The 17,911-nt window shown below is 38.5% G+C and overlaps 1 annotated feature.

Annotated features, from left to right (window-relative positions):
* Positions 6,961-7,679: an enhancer, noted in NCBI's record as "OCT4-NANOG hESC enhancer chr11:6324771-6325489 (GRCh37/hg19 assembly coordinates)". NCBI's record gives its function as "activates a minimal SCP1, AML or CMV promoter by ChIP-STARR-seq in naive H9 embryonic stem cells {active_cell/tissue: H9 hESC(naive)}" and the evidence as "EXISTENCE:reporter gene assay evidence [ECO:0000049][PMID:30033119]".

The following is a 17,911-nucleotide window of genomic DNA, read 5'->3' on the forward strand; positions in this document are numbered from 1 at the left end:
TTGTAATTTTAATTTTTCTCTTTACTAATTTTGTGTTTTGGTTTTGGTTCATTTGTAGGCAATAATCATTAGCAGCAGCAATGATTGAGAATTGGGTTTCATAGTCTGACCATTTGGTGATCTCTATAAATAGATGAATGACTTATAGAGACATATTCTCTTTTGTGTGAGAGAAAATGGAGAATCTGGATTATTAGTTCTTTTTGTTTGTCTATTTGTCTACTTTAAGCCCAAATGAATTAAGAATCCTGGGCTCACTGGGAAGGAGAACAAATCTTTCATACTGAGACTGGTGAGTTTTGGGGTTTCTTTATTACCCTTAACCCATGATGGAATTTTTAATTGAAGTATAAGATTTCTTTGTCTCTGTTTGTCTATGTGTCCATAATTTAGAAAGATCTTTACCTTTCACAGTGTAAGTATGTAAAATTTTCCTACCTCTAGATAATACTAATAAATTAGATTATCAATCTCTTTTTAAAGAGGCTCTTTTCTGATTGGCTGATAGAGATAAATAAGCACTTATATAAAAAGAATATTCTTAAAATTCCCAGAAAATAATGGATTTGAACTTCTAATACTTTAAATATGCTACATTTTAAAAATATCCTTATCTCCTTCTTTAATATGCTTCATTACAGACACAAAGACCTAGGGCCATTTCTTGGTACTCTTCTGTGTCCAGGTGACTGCAATACAGCTAAACAGCTTTTCTGATATGATAGCCTCTGCCCGTTTAGTTAGACAAGGTGCAATATGAATCAAGTCCATCTGTAGGAAACTATCTTCATACAGATGAAGGGTTCCTAGTCCAGTTCTAAATAAAAATTTCTTCCTGTCTCTGTAAAACATCTCAGACTGGATAGAACAGATCAAGTAGAGTAGTGATTTATGATACAGTGTGAAGATCCTATCTATTAAGCATGTGCCTGGTGTAAGGCCATAAGACTTGAAGAAACAATCTGAAGAAATTGTCTTCAGAGAATACTTCAAACGTTGCAAAATATCTTAACACCTTGCTGTGATCCACACAGAAGACCAACTGGCGTGACTTATTTATGAGATCTTTGCAAATGCAGTGAAGGCATTGGTCTCTTCCAAATTGAGAATGAGCATTACCACAATGACATGCATCCTTGGACATAACTAACATCAGGACTGTAACATAAATATGCTGCTACCATACTATGTAAAACATCATGAAATGGCCACTCTTCTAAAAGATGTAGGTAGAGAGATGGCAATGCATAGGATCTGTCCAGCTTAATTCCAGACCAGCACCAGGATCGCCAACAGGTACACCTTCTCTATCAGAGAGAATGATGTGTTCAGAGAGAACTTGTTTCACCAAAGTTTTTTCACCACTCCTTTCCTCTTGAGAGGACTAGTTCATAAAGGTCAGGAATGATAATCCATTCATTTCCTACAGTGAGACTACAAATTTGCCCAGGAACACTAGGGGGCAACCCCTGAACATAATTTACCTTTTCTCCTACTATGCCTTATTTTTCACTGGTCCAAATAACCACTGCAACTGGCAATATTTTCTTCCTGTTTAAATTACTGTTTTCTTTCTTTCCTTCTTTCTTTTTTCTGTCTTTCCTTCTTTCTTTTTTTCTTTCTTTCCTTCTCTCTCTTTCTTTTTTTTGACTGCTTTAATTTCTTGATTTTGAGACTGATTCACAGTCCCACATTCTTGTTGGTGACCTAAAGCTTCTTCTAATGATTTGACAAGATTTCCTTGGAGTGGGCAAAGATTTCTTAAGCAGAACATAAAAGCAGTAATCAATCATATGATGGCTCATACCTGGAAATCAGAGTACAGGTAAAAATGGTTCAGATTCGAAATTCTTATGTCTTGAAGCCTGACATGGTGGTTGACAGGTCCTTCTGTTTGTGCTTCATACTTTTGCTAAATTATTTTTGAAAGTTTTCTAAAGATAATCTCTGGGATAAACTTTGCCAAATAATTTGTAACCAGGAACACGAGGAACAACTGGTGAGCCTCTTTTGTCCTTTTTAGAAAAGATTTGAGACAAGCAGGGGCAGGTGGTGGTGGGCTCATCTCCAAACAGCTGTGAGAGTTAGCATTAAGGTAGTAAGCCCACCAACCTCACCCTACTTCATCCTCCCCAGTCCTCTCCGCCCAGGTGGCAGGGAGCACGCCCTCTGCTGACCAGCGCACCAGTGGCTCCAAGTACCCAGTCTTTGGCATCAGTGGCCACCAGGCTGCAGCTCTGTGAACAGCAGCTGCAGAGGAGCTTCCTGCCAGCCCAGGGAAGCCATAGCCTGTGCATGATCAGCCCCTTTTAGGAAACTAAGGTTGATTTGATGGAGCCAGTGCTGGCAAATCTGTCCAAGGAAAACCGTCCTGGTACCTGGATTTATCCAGGATCCAGCCTTGGAGGTGGTAAGGGAGGTCACTTTCGTGGCAGGCCAAGAGCCTTGAGAGGTTTTGAAAAATTCAAGAAGAGGCTGGTCACGGTGGCTCATGCCTATAATTCCAGTACTTTGGGTGGCTGAAACGAGTGGATCACCTGAGGTCAGGAGTTCGAGACGAGCCTGGCCAACATGGCAAAGGAAGGAAGGAAGGAAGATTCAAGAAGAAAGGAATTAGGCCAAAATGTATAGATACTACAGATGAAATCTTATGGAGAAATTTCCTTGGACTTACCATCTTAGCTTCAAGACAGCAAATGAATAGAAGCTTGTAAAAGATCAAGCTGAGATTTCTTAGAGAACCTCTAGCGGAAAAAACTTAAAGAAGGCCCATATGGTTAACAGTCTTGCTGCACCTGTTTAAAGAACCAGGCCGAATCTAATAAGACCATACTCATTTTGTCATCAAGAATCTTTGAGGTTCTTTGTAATAAAAAGTGGGGGGACTATAAGGAAAAAATTGTGCTTAATTTGAAAATTACGTGTTGTCATTCCAGAGCACACCTGACTTGTCTGATTCCAATTCTGTGGGAGCTGTTTTGCAGCTCTATAAAGTGTAGATAACTGGCAGCAATGCTAAATCATTCTTGTCTATAGATATGCAAATGAATGCTGTCCGGTAAAACAACAACAACAACAAAAAAAACCCCATCTGGCTGTATTTGCACAGTCATTTTAATATTCCGGATCTATAAATGTGTCTGTCCTTGGGATTCTCCTTTCACCTGGTTGTAATACTTCACTGCTTTCCTCATGAATTAGTTAAATAAAAACTTTAACTCATGTTTATTCTTATATCTGTATAAGAGTACTGATCTTACCTGTTTATGAAAATTATCTTTTAATGGCTACTTAGAACTAAATTATCCTTTAATGGCTTGTCCCCGTCTTTGTTTTAGCCACAGAGGGCCTAGAGACTTTAAGGCAAAGTATCAGAGACTTTTGAGGCAGCCCAGTCTGGCGACTTTCCCAGCAACCTAGCGCAGAAACTTTCTAGAAGCTTTATGATGACATCCCTGTTCAGAAGCACTTGGTGTTTTTTCTGTTCTATTGACTGAGGTGTCCTGACACTATTTTGGCAGACATTGTAATGTGCTGAGAAGTTGTACCAGGTATCTCATCATCAAAATGGAAATTTCAAAAGGCTGTCCTGAGTAGCCCCTGAGATTGTGCACCCCACTTTAGCGATGGCTAATATATCCTATTGTCAATGCATAGATGACGGTAATGATAATGGCTTGCTGGAAAAATGCTGAGGATACTTGTCCAGTTCAGAAAAAAGGCCTTCATCTTTCACCACAGTATATGCCCTCCTGGGTATTTATGGCTTGCTTGAGTGTGTGTAGGACCACCGTCATTATCAAAACATGTATTCCTAACAGCAGAGAGTGAGACCTTTTCTTAGGACGGTTAATAAACAAACCCAGAAGTTAATGTTACCTTGGGAACATGTCAAGTTTCTGAGTCATAAAGCCCCAAGTTAGTAGCTGGAAAGTCCATCATCAAGGTTAAGGGCATCCCCCAGAATGCTAGAATGATTTTGACAATTTGAAAAACTTTGTTTAATTATTGCTCAGGGAAGAAACATCCACAAACATCTTTGTTTAGCAGAGGACTTCTGTGACAGATGAGCCAAAGTAAGTAAAAAGAACAAAACAAGCCAGGCGAGTTGGCTCATGCCTGTAATCCCAGCACTTTGGGAGGCTGAGACAGGCGGATCACCTGAGGTCAGGAGTTCGAGAACATCCTGGCCAACATGGCAAAACCCCATCTCTACTAAAAATACAAAAAAGTTAGCCAGGCATGGTGGCACTGGCCTGTAATCCCAGCTACTCAGGAGGCTGAGGCACCAGAATCGCTTGAACCCGGGAGGCGGAGGTTTCAGTGAGCCGAGATCGGCCACTGCACTCCAGCCTAGGCGACAGAGTGAGAATCCGTCTCTGAAAAAAAAAAAAAAAAAAGAACAAAACAAATTAAAAAGTTTTACACAAGTGTGTCATTGTTAACAGTTTGATATACAGCCTATCATGACTCAGTCCTTTGTTTCTGGATCATCTAATTTAGGACAAAGCTATTTTGAGCTGGGGAAAAGAAATTTCTGGAAAATTGAGAAAATAGTGTTAGTAGAGGAAGGCTCCTTTGCAGTACCTATTGCTTTCATGAGAAGGATTTTTCCCTAAACCCTCTGACCCTAGGTCTTATGCCTCTCAAGTGAATTGCCTGACTTGAAAGGGGAACTGGGTGTGTGTGGCCCAGCCCTGTCCTCCTGCCCTCTTTCTCTCCCTCTGGGAATCTTCCTATCTACAGAGCGGTAGTGCTGATGGCTGCTTGACTCTGGTTTTTCAGGTCAGACTATAACTTGGCAAATCTCTCTGATACCAGAGGAGTTCAGGATTGGGAAGTCTACTGTTGCCACATACTTCTATTCCAACTTTATTAGGGAACAGAGATGCTATTTATCGGGCTACCACCCCAATATTTATTATCAATGTTTCTTTAGAAAATTGCCTGGGGGCTTTAGGTTCTGGCAGTCATCATACAGGGAGTTACAGTGTCATTTAAGGGTATCAAATTAGAAAACAGCTGTGGAAAATTATGTGAAAACCCAATTTCCACGGACACTGTGGACATGGTGATTGTGGATGTGTAATGAACAGGGCCCATGATAAGAATGTAATTGAACAATGCTTTTCCACATTCAGCACATCCAGAATCTCAGAATCCTTTACATAATTCAGAATGTATCTTGCCAGAACAAGAGAGACCACATCATAAATGTGAATTCTAAATACACAGCTCTTTTTAAAATCTACCATGACTAATTATAACTGTTGGCTCAACAGATGTACCCCCACTCCATCACCCTTCTTTTTGGAAACACAATACCACTAAGAGCCCCTGCAAGATATCCTCCTGATGGGTCTAAAAAGCCCTCTGCTGACAAGTACCGCCTGAGAATGAGTCTTACACACCTGCTCGGCAGGCTGTGCACATCTCAAATATTCAGGGAAGCAAGGAGGAAGGGGTATGGCCCTCCAGGGTGCTGCTGTCAAGCACCGTAGCAGAGTAACCTACTGGAATTACTTGTAAAACCATCCCCACAAAAGCAAAAATCCATATGCTGCCTCTTGTCGTTCCAGAGGCAATAGTTAAGTTGTACACACGGAAAAGACCCAAATTCGGGGTTGTCGCTTCCTGATCATTTTTGTCCTTTTTTGTAACTGTGCCACCCAAATGAGCAATGAGCAATATACCAAAAACCCGAGGCTGTCCACATGGCAAGATCTGATCCGAGTTCCATTCCAATGTTGTTCAAAGGTGATTGTTTTCCAGGGTTGTAGTCTCTTACAGCCATAGGGGGATGGAGGGCAACAATCACTGAACTCAAAGGCAGCCCTGGTTCCTTTGATCACTGCGAAGCCATCTAGGAAGTAGCTCCTGACAGACCCTTCCCTCCCTGGAAGGCGCGGCCTGCTAGATAACCCCTCAACTGCAGGCCAAATAGCACAGTATTTGGATGGAGAGGAGGCTCCATTAGAGGGGTGATAGAGGCAGCTCTCTTTCTGGTAAAAATTAAAGCTTATATAGGGCCATAAGGATGAATGGAAGCATAACATACTGAAAGTGGTCAGTGTCTTGTGTTTTATTTTCCTTATCTGCTCAGGGCTGTTGTTTTGAGAGCTGGCCCAGGACCCACATAATGCTGGCTCAGAGCCATATTAAAAGATATGAGGAGTCTCCCCTTATTTTCCAGAAAAGCCTTAGCTTCTGTAAACTTCAGGGAAGATTAAAGAGTCCATGAGGTAGCTGTCTAAGGTTTTGCCCATATGCCCAAGAGCTTCCCACTGTAGATCGTGTTAGCCACCTCAATCCCCAACCCCCAACCTCAGATAATCGAAGTCCACAGGACATGTTGATGCCCATTACCTGACCAGAAAAATGCTTTCTTTGTCCTGTGTTTAACTCTATTTTTTTTTCTTTTTCTTTTTTGAGATGGAGTCTTGCTCTGTCACCCAGGCTGGAGTGCAGTGGCACAATCTCGGCTCACTGTAACATCTGCCTCCCAGGTTCAAGTGGCTCTTCTGCCTCAGCCTCCCAAGTAGCTGGGATTACAGGTGCCCACCAACTTGCCCAGCTAATTTTTGTATTTTTAGTAGAGATGTGGTTTCACCATGTAGGCCAGACTGGTCTCGAACCCCTGACCTCAGGTGATCCGCCCACCTCAGCCTCCCAAAATACTGGGTTTACAGGCGTGAGCCACCATGTCCGGCCTACCTCTATTCTTTCTAATAGTTCTTGTTAACTTTGATAACATGTCTGCAATAAGCTTTGAATTACTGTAATGTTTGAAATGTACACTGGGAGAGTTCCTATATACAACTCAGCTGCCATCCATACCATGAGAATAGTGATTTGTTTGGCTTTTCTTTAACCCATTAGAGTTGAACAAAATATTCAAGACTCACTTCTGTTTTTTTCAGGAGTCTCTGAATATCCCCTCTTGACCACCTTCTGGGGTATTAAATTAAACAGAAACAAAATTTATGGAAACATTCAACAGCCCTAATGATCTATAAGCCTTTGCCAGTGCTTAATCTGTTCCAGAGGTATATCTACCTCCTCAAATCACTCTTAAGGGGCCCCAGGTACCACCCAGCTTCTCCTAAGCATTTTAGTACTTTTCCCTGTCGCAGAAGCCTTCTCTGCCCCCTCCGCTTTGTCCTGCCTACACTGAACAAATCACCAAACCAGGCACTATGGACAGTGACTTGGCTGTACAGGTGCCCTTTGCATAACAATGATGTTCGTGAGAGGCATGACTCTTAAGCCGACATGAGTCTCTGTGACTTTAAATCCTCCTTGTTCCTTTCAGACAAACTGCTGACAAGCCTGGTCAGCATGCACTGACCTGAATGCCCTTTTCTACATCATTAAACCCCTTTTTAACTTCCCGCTGTGGGGATGATGTGTGTCTGCACCGGATCCACACTATGTTTCTTCCCCCTTTCTGTTTAATCACACCTAAATCAAAAGCAGAAAATCACAGTTAAAGCTAATTTGTATCATATTAAATATTAAAATCCATATTAAAATTAATGACATGGTGATATGGTGAGACCCCTTAATAACACTACCATGTGACAGTTTTCTATTTTCACTTACTATTGCTATTAACTTCGTGTTGGCATCAGTTGTTCTCTACAGGTGACAAGTGCATTTGATAGCAGCATATATATGTAAATAACTTACGAATGACAAAATTTTTATAATTTTTTTAAAAATACAAAATTAAACCCTCTAAAAAACTAATTTTTAAGATATCTCTGAAAAATACACAGATATATACGTACTCCTACCCTTTTGTGTCTTACCCTAAAAATTACTCTTTGCAAATAATCTTATAAGCTTTCACTCCCTTTTATTTTGCTTTGCTGGTGGCTCTGATGGTATATGTTCACTGGTGCCTTTTTGGGGGAACATTCCAGAACCCTGTTCTATTATACCACAGACACAGAAAGGTGTTCTGATAATGAGTACTAGTATTTTGGAAAATAAAACAAAAAACAAAATTTCACCACATCCTTGTGAGAATATTTCTACACATTCCTGGAGTTTGTCTGATGTGCTATCATTGGCAAGGTAGAAGGTCATCCTAAATTAACTTGGATCTTTTTCCATTATGGATCATATGCAGAAGCATGAATTGTAGAGTCTTCACAACAGAAATAGCTTGTTCTGTATTACAGGACTCCAGAGTGAGTGAGGGATTCATCCTGACTAACAATAAATATTGTTACATTAATGCTTCAGCACAGTCTCTTATATTGAGTACTGTAGAGAAAGAGGCATAGAATAAGTTTATTACTAACTAAGAAAAAAATAATAAACTCAACTTTCTCTTTACCAAACAATTTATCCGGAATTACAACCTGTATCATTGCAATGTTTTTATGAATTCTAGGCAATATCTTCTAACTTAAAAAATAAGTAAAACTAAAAAAAAAAAAAAAGAAAAAGAAGTGGTAAAACTTAAAGCTCCCCCATCTCACCCTTCATCACATACTAGCAGAATATCTTTCACCAATTCTTAACTATAGATACCCATGTAAGAAATAGTCTGTTTAATGGTCACATCAGGCATCAATCAAATGTTGAGGTTTACCAATCTTGGCAATATTGACATTTTGGATAGGCTAATTATTTGTTGTAAGGTACTATCATGTGCATTGTAAGACGTTTAACAACATCCCCGATGTCTGTCTACTAGGTGCCAGTTGTGACACTAAAAAGTGTCTCCAGACATTGGTAAATGTCCCCCCTGGGGTCGGTGGTGGAGGGTATGCCTGCAGTTGAGAACAACTGGTCTAGAGAAAAGAGGGTAATTGACCTAGTTTAGATGGAGTGCATAGTGCTGGGTCAGTTCGCTGTGAATCAGCGAGCAAGGATCAGTAAAGTACAGCATAATTCTATTTGAATATATGTGGCTGCTCCTTTAATCAGTGCTGAAAAGTCAATCTGCTAAGTGAGTGTTTACCACACTGCGGAGATTCCCTCTAGGGTTTGGCTTTTGTAGCTTTGCTCTTTGTTGAAGTTGTGCTATGATCTGAATGTTTGTGTCCCCCAAAAACTCATATGTTGAAATCTTAACAGACAAGGTGATGATATTACAAGGTGGCACCTTTGGGAGGTGATTAGAGATTAGATCATGAGAATTAAAGGGATTAATGTCCTTATAAGAAAGGCCTAAGAGAGAGTCCACAGCCCTTCTACCATGTGAAGACATAGAGAAAAAGCACCATCTGTGAACTAGAGAGCAGACCCTTACCAGATGCTGGATCTGCCAGCATCTTGATTTTGGACTTCCCAGTCTCCAGAAGTATGAGAAATAAATTTCCGTTGTTTATAAGCTACTCAGTTTATTGTATTTTCTTATAGTAACCACAACAGACTAAAACATGCTATTAAGCTTTTTAATTTATTATATTTATTTTTAATTTTTGCCTGTAGTTACTTCTTGTTTTTGAAGTTTTTCCCCTGTTTTAGGTATTTCTATTATCCTTACAGTTTTAGTATTCTGCCATCTTCAAGTAAGCTTTAAGTTGATTTTTGTTCAATGTGAGTTAGAATGTTGTTTTTTTCTATTTACTTTCCTCTCATTAGTATAACCTGAAATCTGCTAGGCAAAATGTGTGGGTTTTATTGTGTCTGTATTTCAGGAAGAAATAAAGGGTGGATGGTCATGTCCATATATTTGAGGCTCACTTGTTTATAAACCTTGGAAGTCGAGAGCCAAGTTAGCAGCTAGTTGAAAAGGATTAGAAGAACAAACCTCTCACTATCATAAAGTCCAATGTATTTAACAGTCTGGCTGGGTAATTAATGCTTAAACGTCAAAATGAGTCTGCTTGAAGTATTCTCTTAGATCCCCCAACCCACTGATTTAGAGAAAAGATCAAGATTTCAGCCCTTCCCTTGATAGAAATGTTGCAAGCTGAGTTTGAGAAACTCAGAAGAGAAATCCTAAAACATGAGAACTTTCTTTTGAAATAGAATGTTTGAAAGAGCTGAGAGCTTTCAGAGACATTGTGAGATCAGCAAGATTTCCCCTTTGAAATCTTGCATTCATCCCCAAACCTAGTTGGAGCAAGGGCAGAAGGCCCCTCTCTATAGCAGAATATCAAAGCACTGGCAATGGTAGAGTGGCAGAAAGCTTGAGGAACACAGATTCCTAGTGACAGAGCAAATTGCTTCCAGGAAAGTAAGCAGAGCAATCTGGGTGGTGGCGACAGTCTGACAGCAGTCATCTCAGATTTGGGTGCAGTCAGGAACTTGTGTCTGTCAAAGTACAAGAGGGACATCTACTTGTGCCTAGTAGAAAACACTTCATAGGCATCAATCCCCAACAAAGATGGAGGTACTAACAACCTACCAGCAAACAGGCAATTATGAAAGAAGGATGATGAGCTCAGCCTATTTTGGATGGACTGGGAATTAATGAATTTCTGTCACTAATTGGTGATTTGGGGAGAAACAGAGGCTACAGAGGTAGATTTTATGGTTCAAAGAGGACACACCAATTCCATTTCTTTTACCTAAGGCATGCTTTTGGAAGGAGCTTCTTCTTACTCAGGGGAGAGGAGAGGGGATGCTAAGTTATATACCAAGGGCCCACTATGAAATGGAACAAGCATTTTGTGATTTCTGAATATACATGTAGCATTGTGAATTTCTGAAAGATAAACTCAGTATGTCCTTACCCTCAGGGAGCTTACAATACAGTGAAGAATGGAACAATTGCACAAACAGAATATATAATAACAAATGTCATACAAGAATGCTACTTTGACTAAAAGGAAGAGAAGATCATATGGTTTTAAAAATCAGGAATAGCATTCTGACCAACTGAGCATATAAAATAGATTGAAGTACAAACATTTAAGAGAGAATTTCAGGAGCCCATATGAGAATCAATGAGATTCTATGCTAGGATAGTGGCAATGAAACAGAAATGAAAGAATGGATTTGTGAAATGTATACCTAGCATCTTCAAGATTTGTTGACTAATTGCACATGGGAGATAATTGAGATGGGGAGAAAGGAAGCACTGGGAATTGGGACAATGGAGATAGGGTTAGCTGAAGTAAGGAAGAAAAAGGGAAATTGGATGGAAGATGGCAAGCTTGCTTTTTGAGATGCTGCTGTAAATACAAGACACTGCGTATACGAGAGGCTGGTGATTATATAGGCTGGGACACTGCATACATAAGAAGTTGGTAATTAACATAGAGTGTAGTCACCTCACCTTGTTTTCCCCTGGTGAGGACTCCTGTCTTTTGATTCTGTCTGTTCACAGTCACATCTCCGGTTTAAAGATACTCTGAGAAGCATAAGTACGTATGCCTTGAAAGCCAGGGCTTAGGATTCATACCATCACCACCGCCTCTACCCTGTCACCTCTTTATTTAACCTTAGCTCCCTATGAGTAACTCAAATGCCTACAGTTTTATTTTCCTGCATGTGCTGGCGCTGACGTGATTGGGATGAGCCCGCTCAGCTGGAATGGAGGAGCACGCCATTGTGAAGCTCTGTCAGGGGAGGAATGACTGACTGCAGCAACTCAGGGGCTGTCTCTCTCTCTCTCAATCTCTCTCTCTCTCTCTTTCTTTTTTCTTTTTTTTTCTTGCTTCTCAGCACAGTCTGACAGAACCTGATGTGGATGCTGGAAGGATAAAATTTACAGTCTCAAGACACGATTCTCTATAAGTCAAATGAAGCATTTTTACTAAATTGAGTCTCTTCAACTCTTCTCTGAATTCTCCATATGTCAGCATAGAATTGCCTCAATCTTCCTTTCTCTACTACTTTATGCTCATAAATTTCATTTTCACTTCTGACAGCTTTTATTTGCTTGGGTCTATTTTTCAATGTTTCTGAACATTTTTTGATATTTACTCTTTACTGTTTATAAAAGGAATATGTACTCATTGTAAACATAACCTGATTTGGAAATTAAGAAAAAAATATAAAGAAGAAAGTATGTGACCTAAACCCTCATCACTATTAACATTTTGATCCAGTCTTTTTCCTCTTATGCACATTTTAATTTTAAAACATAGTTGGAATCATACTATGTAAATTATTTTGTTTTCTGGTTTTGTAACCTTTATATTATTAGAATTTTCTCACATTATTAAAATCAGTTTAAATCATTTTTTATAGCTGCATGAAATTTTATTATTGTGGATGTTGTACTTTTTTTAATGATATTAGCTCCTATGCTGATTGCCTAACTCTTTATGGTAAAAATTTCCTGGGCTATGCATGTGTCTATACATAGCTAAAAAAGAAAAACGAAAGAATAAAAACCAAAATGATATAAAGAAAAAAATGACTTTTTTTTTTTTTTTTTTTTTGAGATGGAGCTTCGCTCTTGTTGCCCAGGCTGGAGTGTAATGGTGCAACCTCTGCTCACTGCAACCTCCACCTCCCGGGTTCATGTGATTCTCCTGCCTCAGCCTCCAGAGTAGCTGAGACTACAGGCACGTGCCACCATGCCAAGCTAATTTTTTAAAATATATTTTTAGTAGAGACAGAGTTTCACCATATTGGCCAGGCTAGTCTCAAACTCCTGACTTCAGGTGATCCACCCGCCTCGGCCTCCCAAAGTGCTGGGATTACAGGTGTGAGCTACCGCATACGTCATGTTCTGCAAATTTTAAAAACAAATTCTATCAAATTAAAGAAGTAATAGTTTCTACTTTATGTAAAATATTCCTGCACATTTTACATAAAGTTGGCATGTAAAATGTCAACTTTAAAATGAAGAAGATCTGAAATAATGAAGAATCTTAATTTAGCAAAAGAAATTGGATAGAAGTCAAGGTTTTCGACATGAAAGAGAGTGACAATAGAGATATGTATATTCTCCAAATTCACCAACTATCTCTAAAGGAATGGCAAATAAAAGACTGGAAACAAGTCAAAACATTGAAATTGTAAGTACTTATTCCTTTGCTGGTTGTAAATTGATAATTTTAACTCTGATATTCTGTTTGAAATGTAAATGTTTAATCTTTCCATCCATGGTGGAAAGGAATGTCTTCCAGAAGTGAGGAGTAAGGGGAGAGGAGATGTATTCTGACCTCAAAATTATGTGACAGTGTCTCCAAAATATAGTTGCTTGAACAGATGTCTTCTAAGCAAATGTTATAAAATACTTAATTAGGGACGTGAAGTTTCCATTCATAAACATAAGAAACTTATTTTTGAAACTTATTTTTGTTTATTTCCATAGGTTATTGGGGAACAGGTGGTGTTTTGTTACATGAGTAAGTTCTTTAGTGGTGATTTGTGAGATTTTGGGGTACCCATCACCTAAGTAGTATACACTGCACCGTATTTGTAGACTTTTATCCCTCGCCCCCTTCCCTCCCTGTCCCCCTGAGTCCCCAAAGTCCATTGTGTCATTCTTAGGCCTTGCATCCTCATAGCTTAGCTTCCACTTATGAGTGAGAACATACGATGTTTGATTTTCCATTCCTGAGTTACCTCACTTAGAATAATAGTCTCCAATCTCATCCAGGTCGCTACAAAAGCCATTAACTCATTTGTTTTTATGGCTGAGTAGTATTCCATCATATATATATAGACATATATATGTATATATATATGTCTATATATGTATGTGTGTATATATATATATCACAGTTTCTTTATCGACTCGTTGATTGATAGGCATTTGGGTTGGTGCCACATTTTTGCAATTGCGAATTGTGCTGCTATTAAACATGCGTATGCAAGTATGTTTTTTGTATAATGACTTCTTTTCCTCTGGGTAGATACCCAGTAGTGGGATTGATGGATCAAATGGTAGTTCTTTAAGGAATCGCCACACTGTTTTCCATAGTGGTTGGACTAGTTGCCTTTCCCACCAGTAATATAGAACTGTTCCCTGTTCACCATATCCACAGCAACATCTACTATTTTTTTATTTTTTGATTATGGCCATTCTCACAGGAGTAAGGTGGGATCGCATTGTGAAACTTATTTTTTGAAGAGCGTGTTTTGACCAGAATAAATATGTGAATTATATATGTAAGAAGTTGAAAAACTGTAAATCTTATCAGCTTCTGGTTAAATGTGTGATTTGTCTGTGAAGACATTTAAAAAAACAACAACAACAACCATGAACTTTGTCTACTCCAGAATGATCTATGGTTTTCAAGTATACTGAAGTAAGATGGACTCTATTTGAGGAAAGTAAACTGCCACCATGAGTTAAAACATGTCTAAAGCCATGGCTTTTTATTTTTTTTATTTTTTTCCAGAATGGATTTTCCAAGAAACTTCACTTTCAAGGATAAGTAAGATCTTGACAGGCTGAATTAAGCAACATATCAAGGAGGGAAAAAAAGATACCTAAAATGAAACATACCACATATAGTTTCTAGTGGGAGAAATGAGCATGGAGGGAGTCTTTTGAGCCAGTTCCACCTTGAGACAGTGCTTCAGAATCAAGAAGGGGAAGAATCTATCACAATTCCCATTTTAGTAAAGTTTCTGCATGAGGTTTCTTAAGTTAATCTGTATAATTTTAAGTTTGGCAACTTTTATACTAAATGTTTTGTTTCAAATACAAAAATATAGCAGTAAAAGTATATAAAGTAATATATAATATAGGAAAACTGAAAGACATAATATCTCTCAATTTGGACATTTCCTTATTAGATGCTGCTAAGTAAAATAGAAAAATGTTTACTGGTGAAATAAGCTGTGTCTAGACCTTAATTTTTAAAGATGGCCACATGTTTTATCTCTGGCTTATATAATCATGCAAATTATTATAAAAAATGCATTTGGGAATATGGAAAAGGCATATTTTAACCTATGCAAAGAGTATTACCCTGGATGAGGTTATATTTTCCTTTAATTTTCAGAGAGATTTTTGTTATGTTCAGATGATGCTGAAACCCTGTTTGGATCTATATTCTATAAAATCAATTTTAAGTTGCTTAAACAATAGGAGGAGGGAACATAATACATATTTATTATACTACACACAATATTTGCTATACCCATGCATTCTTATGCATTTTTACCATGTTATAGAATATATCAGTTCTCCCTAAAGCCCAAAATGGGTATTCTTTTGTAATATGCTTGGATAAAGTAAAATTATGTTTTTAAAAAGAAATAACAAGTTTCTAATGTTTTAAACAAGAATATAATAAGCAAATGGTTTGATCTGAGAATAATATTGGCTTATCAAAGATTGTGAAAGGATGTTGTATTAGAGTAAACAATAGTTGCTTTGAAAAAAGAAAAATAACTTGAAAGAGTTAAAGTAAGGAAGAATTTGAAGTTAAAAACATCAGAATAAGGCTGGTCGCGGTGGTTCACAGCTGTAATCCCAACATTTTGGGAGACCCAAGCAGGCAGATCACTTGAGGTCAGGAGTTCAAGACCAGCCAATATGGCAAAACTTAGTCTCTACTAAAAATACAAAAATTAGCTGGGCGTCCTGGTATGCACCTGTAATCCCAGCTACCTGGGAGGCTGAGGCAGGAGAATCTCTTGAACCTGGGAGGCGGAGGTTGCAGTGAGCCAAAATTGTGCCACTGCACTCCAGCCTGGACAACAGAGTGAGACTCTGTCTCGATTAAGAAGAAAAAAAAAAATCAGAATAAACTCATGATTCTAAAAGACTCTGATTGTCATAAGAACATTTGAAGCAGCTGTTGATGTCACCCTGCCCGCAGTGGAAGCATGGGAAATAATCTACTCAATAATCAGACTTGGGTCTTATGCTGGTTTGCCACAGAAGGTATCACCAGATAACTTGGGCCACATACTAGAAAATCAAGATAAGTATGGAATAGACTGTTGTAACAAGAAAACAAGAATACCTCCATAGATGATTCAAGTATTTAAGAAAAAAAAAAGACAAAAAAGCTTAGTCTGTTTTGTGCTGCTATAACAGAATACCTGAGATTCAGTACTTTATAAAGAACAGAAATTTGTTTCTCACAGTTCTGGAGTCTATAAAGTCCAAGATCAAAGTTCTGTCATCTAGTGAGGACTTTCTTGTTATGTCCTCACATGGTGGAAGGCAGAAAGGGGTAAACCCACTCCCACAAGCACTTTTTATAGCAGCATTAATCCATTCATGAGGGCTATGAAAATTGTCAAAATCAAAATGGAGTCACTTGTGTTAAAAACCCTGACAAATAGAGCTGAGGAAGGGTATGAAGGAGGGATTCTTGTGCACGAATTCTTGATATCACAAAAGACTTTGCAAAACCACAGCCTGCACAAAAGCCATCACAACTTTACACATAAAAAAAAATGCTTCTGGCCGGGCGCGGTGGCTCATGCCTGTAATCCCAGCACTTTGGGAGGCCGAGGCAGGCAGATCATCTGAGGTCGGGAGTTCGAGACCAGCCTGACCAACATGGAGAAACCCCATCTCTACTAAAAATACAAAATTAGCCGGGCATGGTGATGCGTGCCTGTAATCTCAGCTACTCAGGAGGCTGAGGCAGAAGAATTGCTTGAACCCAGGAGGCAGAGGTTGCGATGAGCTGAGATCACACCATTGCACTCCAGTCTGGGCAAAAGAGCGAAACTCCATCTCAAAAATAATAATAATAATAATGCTTCTGAGAGGACATCTGCCTAGCAACTCTCTGTCCAATCTTGGACTGGCACCACCTTTGTTATTAATCCTTGTAGTCAACAATAATTATCTCAGAACAATTATATAATCCTCCTCATTTTTCCTTTAAAAACCTTTGTCTTCCTTTACCTCCTGAATATATACATAATTTACTGTGGAAGACATACACATTCCCATTGTAACGCCTATTCCCAAATAAACATCATTTTCTTCTAGAGAGTCTTCCTCTCCATTTGTTATTTAGGTTGACAGGTCAGAGTTCTCATGACCTAAACAACTCCCATTAGGCCTCATTTCCCTCCCAAAACTGTTGCAATGGGGACTACATTTCCAACACATGAATTTTTGGAGACACACTCAAATCATAGCAAAAAAAAAAAAAAAACACGTTGAAAAGAGCTCCCATATACCAAGAAGTGACAGGTAAGCATCAGGAGAAAACCTACCAGCCAGCAATTGATACCAATTCAGTCTTTAAAAAGAGCCATGAATTCATAACTATTCTAAAAATGAAAGGTAGGAGAAGGGAAATCATACTAAAAAGTAAGATATGTATCTTTCAAATTAGCTTTACAAAATTATGGAATAATGATCAAGTTAACTGAATCAAACATTCGGAGAGTTGGTCAACACAGATGTTAACAATTTCAAATGGTATGCAAACATAAGAAGGGTACATTTGTAATTTTTTTTAAGTTTAAGAGTATTAAAATACATTTTGACTAGCCAGATTTAGAGATATCTAAAGGTTAGGGCAAAACAGGTAGACTGTTGGGGAAAGTGGGTAAAGAAATCAGAATAAACCAGGCATGTAAATACATAAAGAATACAGGAAGTAATAATGATATCATAAAATTAATGCTACATTTAATAATCCACATTACTTTAGAATGGTCTAGTCCATGAGTCTCTGTGAAATAAAAGGAGTTGTTTAAATTGGGTTGGACTGCTCTGTCTTCATTCTGTGTTGGAGAGAGGAAGATCTATAGAAGTCCAGAAACAATATGACTCATAATAGGGGATCATCTCAAACCTATCTTCTCTAATAAACCAGACTTCCTAACAAAATGTCCATGCTTAAGACACAGGTTATGGATTAAAGAAAATAACTATCAGAATAATTAAGCTCAATCTCACAGGACCGGGGGTAGGGGATGATTGTTGGACTCTTGTTTTAAAATGACTGAATAAAGACTGTGCTTTCCACCATCATGTTAAAAATAATTCTAAAATAGAAAAGAGACCATGAATGCAAACTCTGTCTGCCTTTGATGAAACTAAGAAATATCTGAAACC

The sequence above is a fragment of the Homo sapiens genome, chromosome 11 (assembly GCF_000001405.40).
Source record: "Homo sapiens chromosome 11, GRCh38.p14 Primary Assembly".
Classification (NCBI taxonomy): Eukaryota; Metazoa; Chordata; class Mammalia; order Primates; family Hominidae; genus Homo; species Homo sapiens.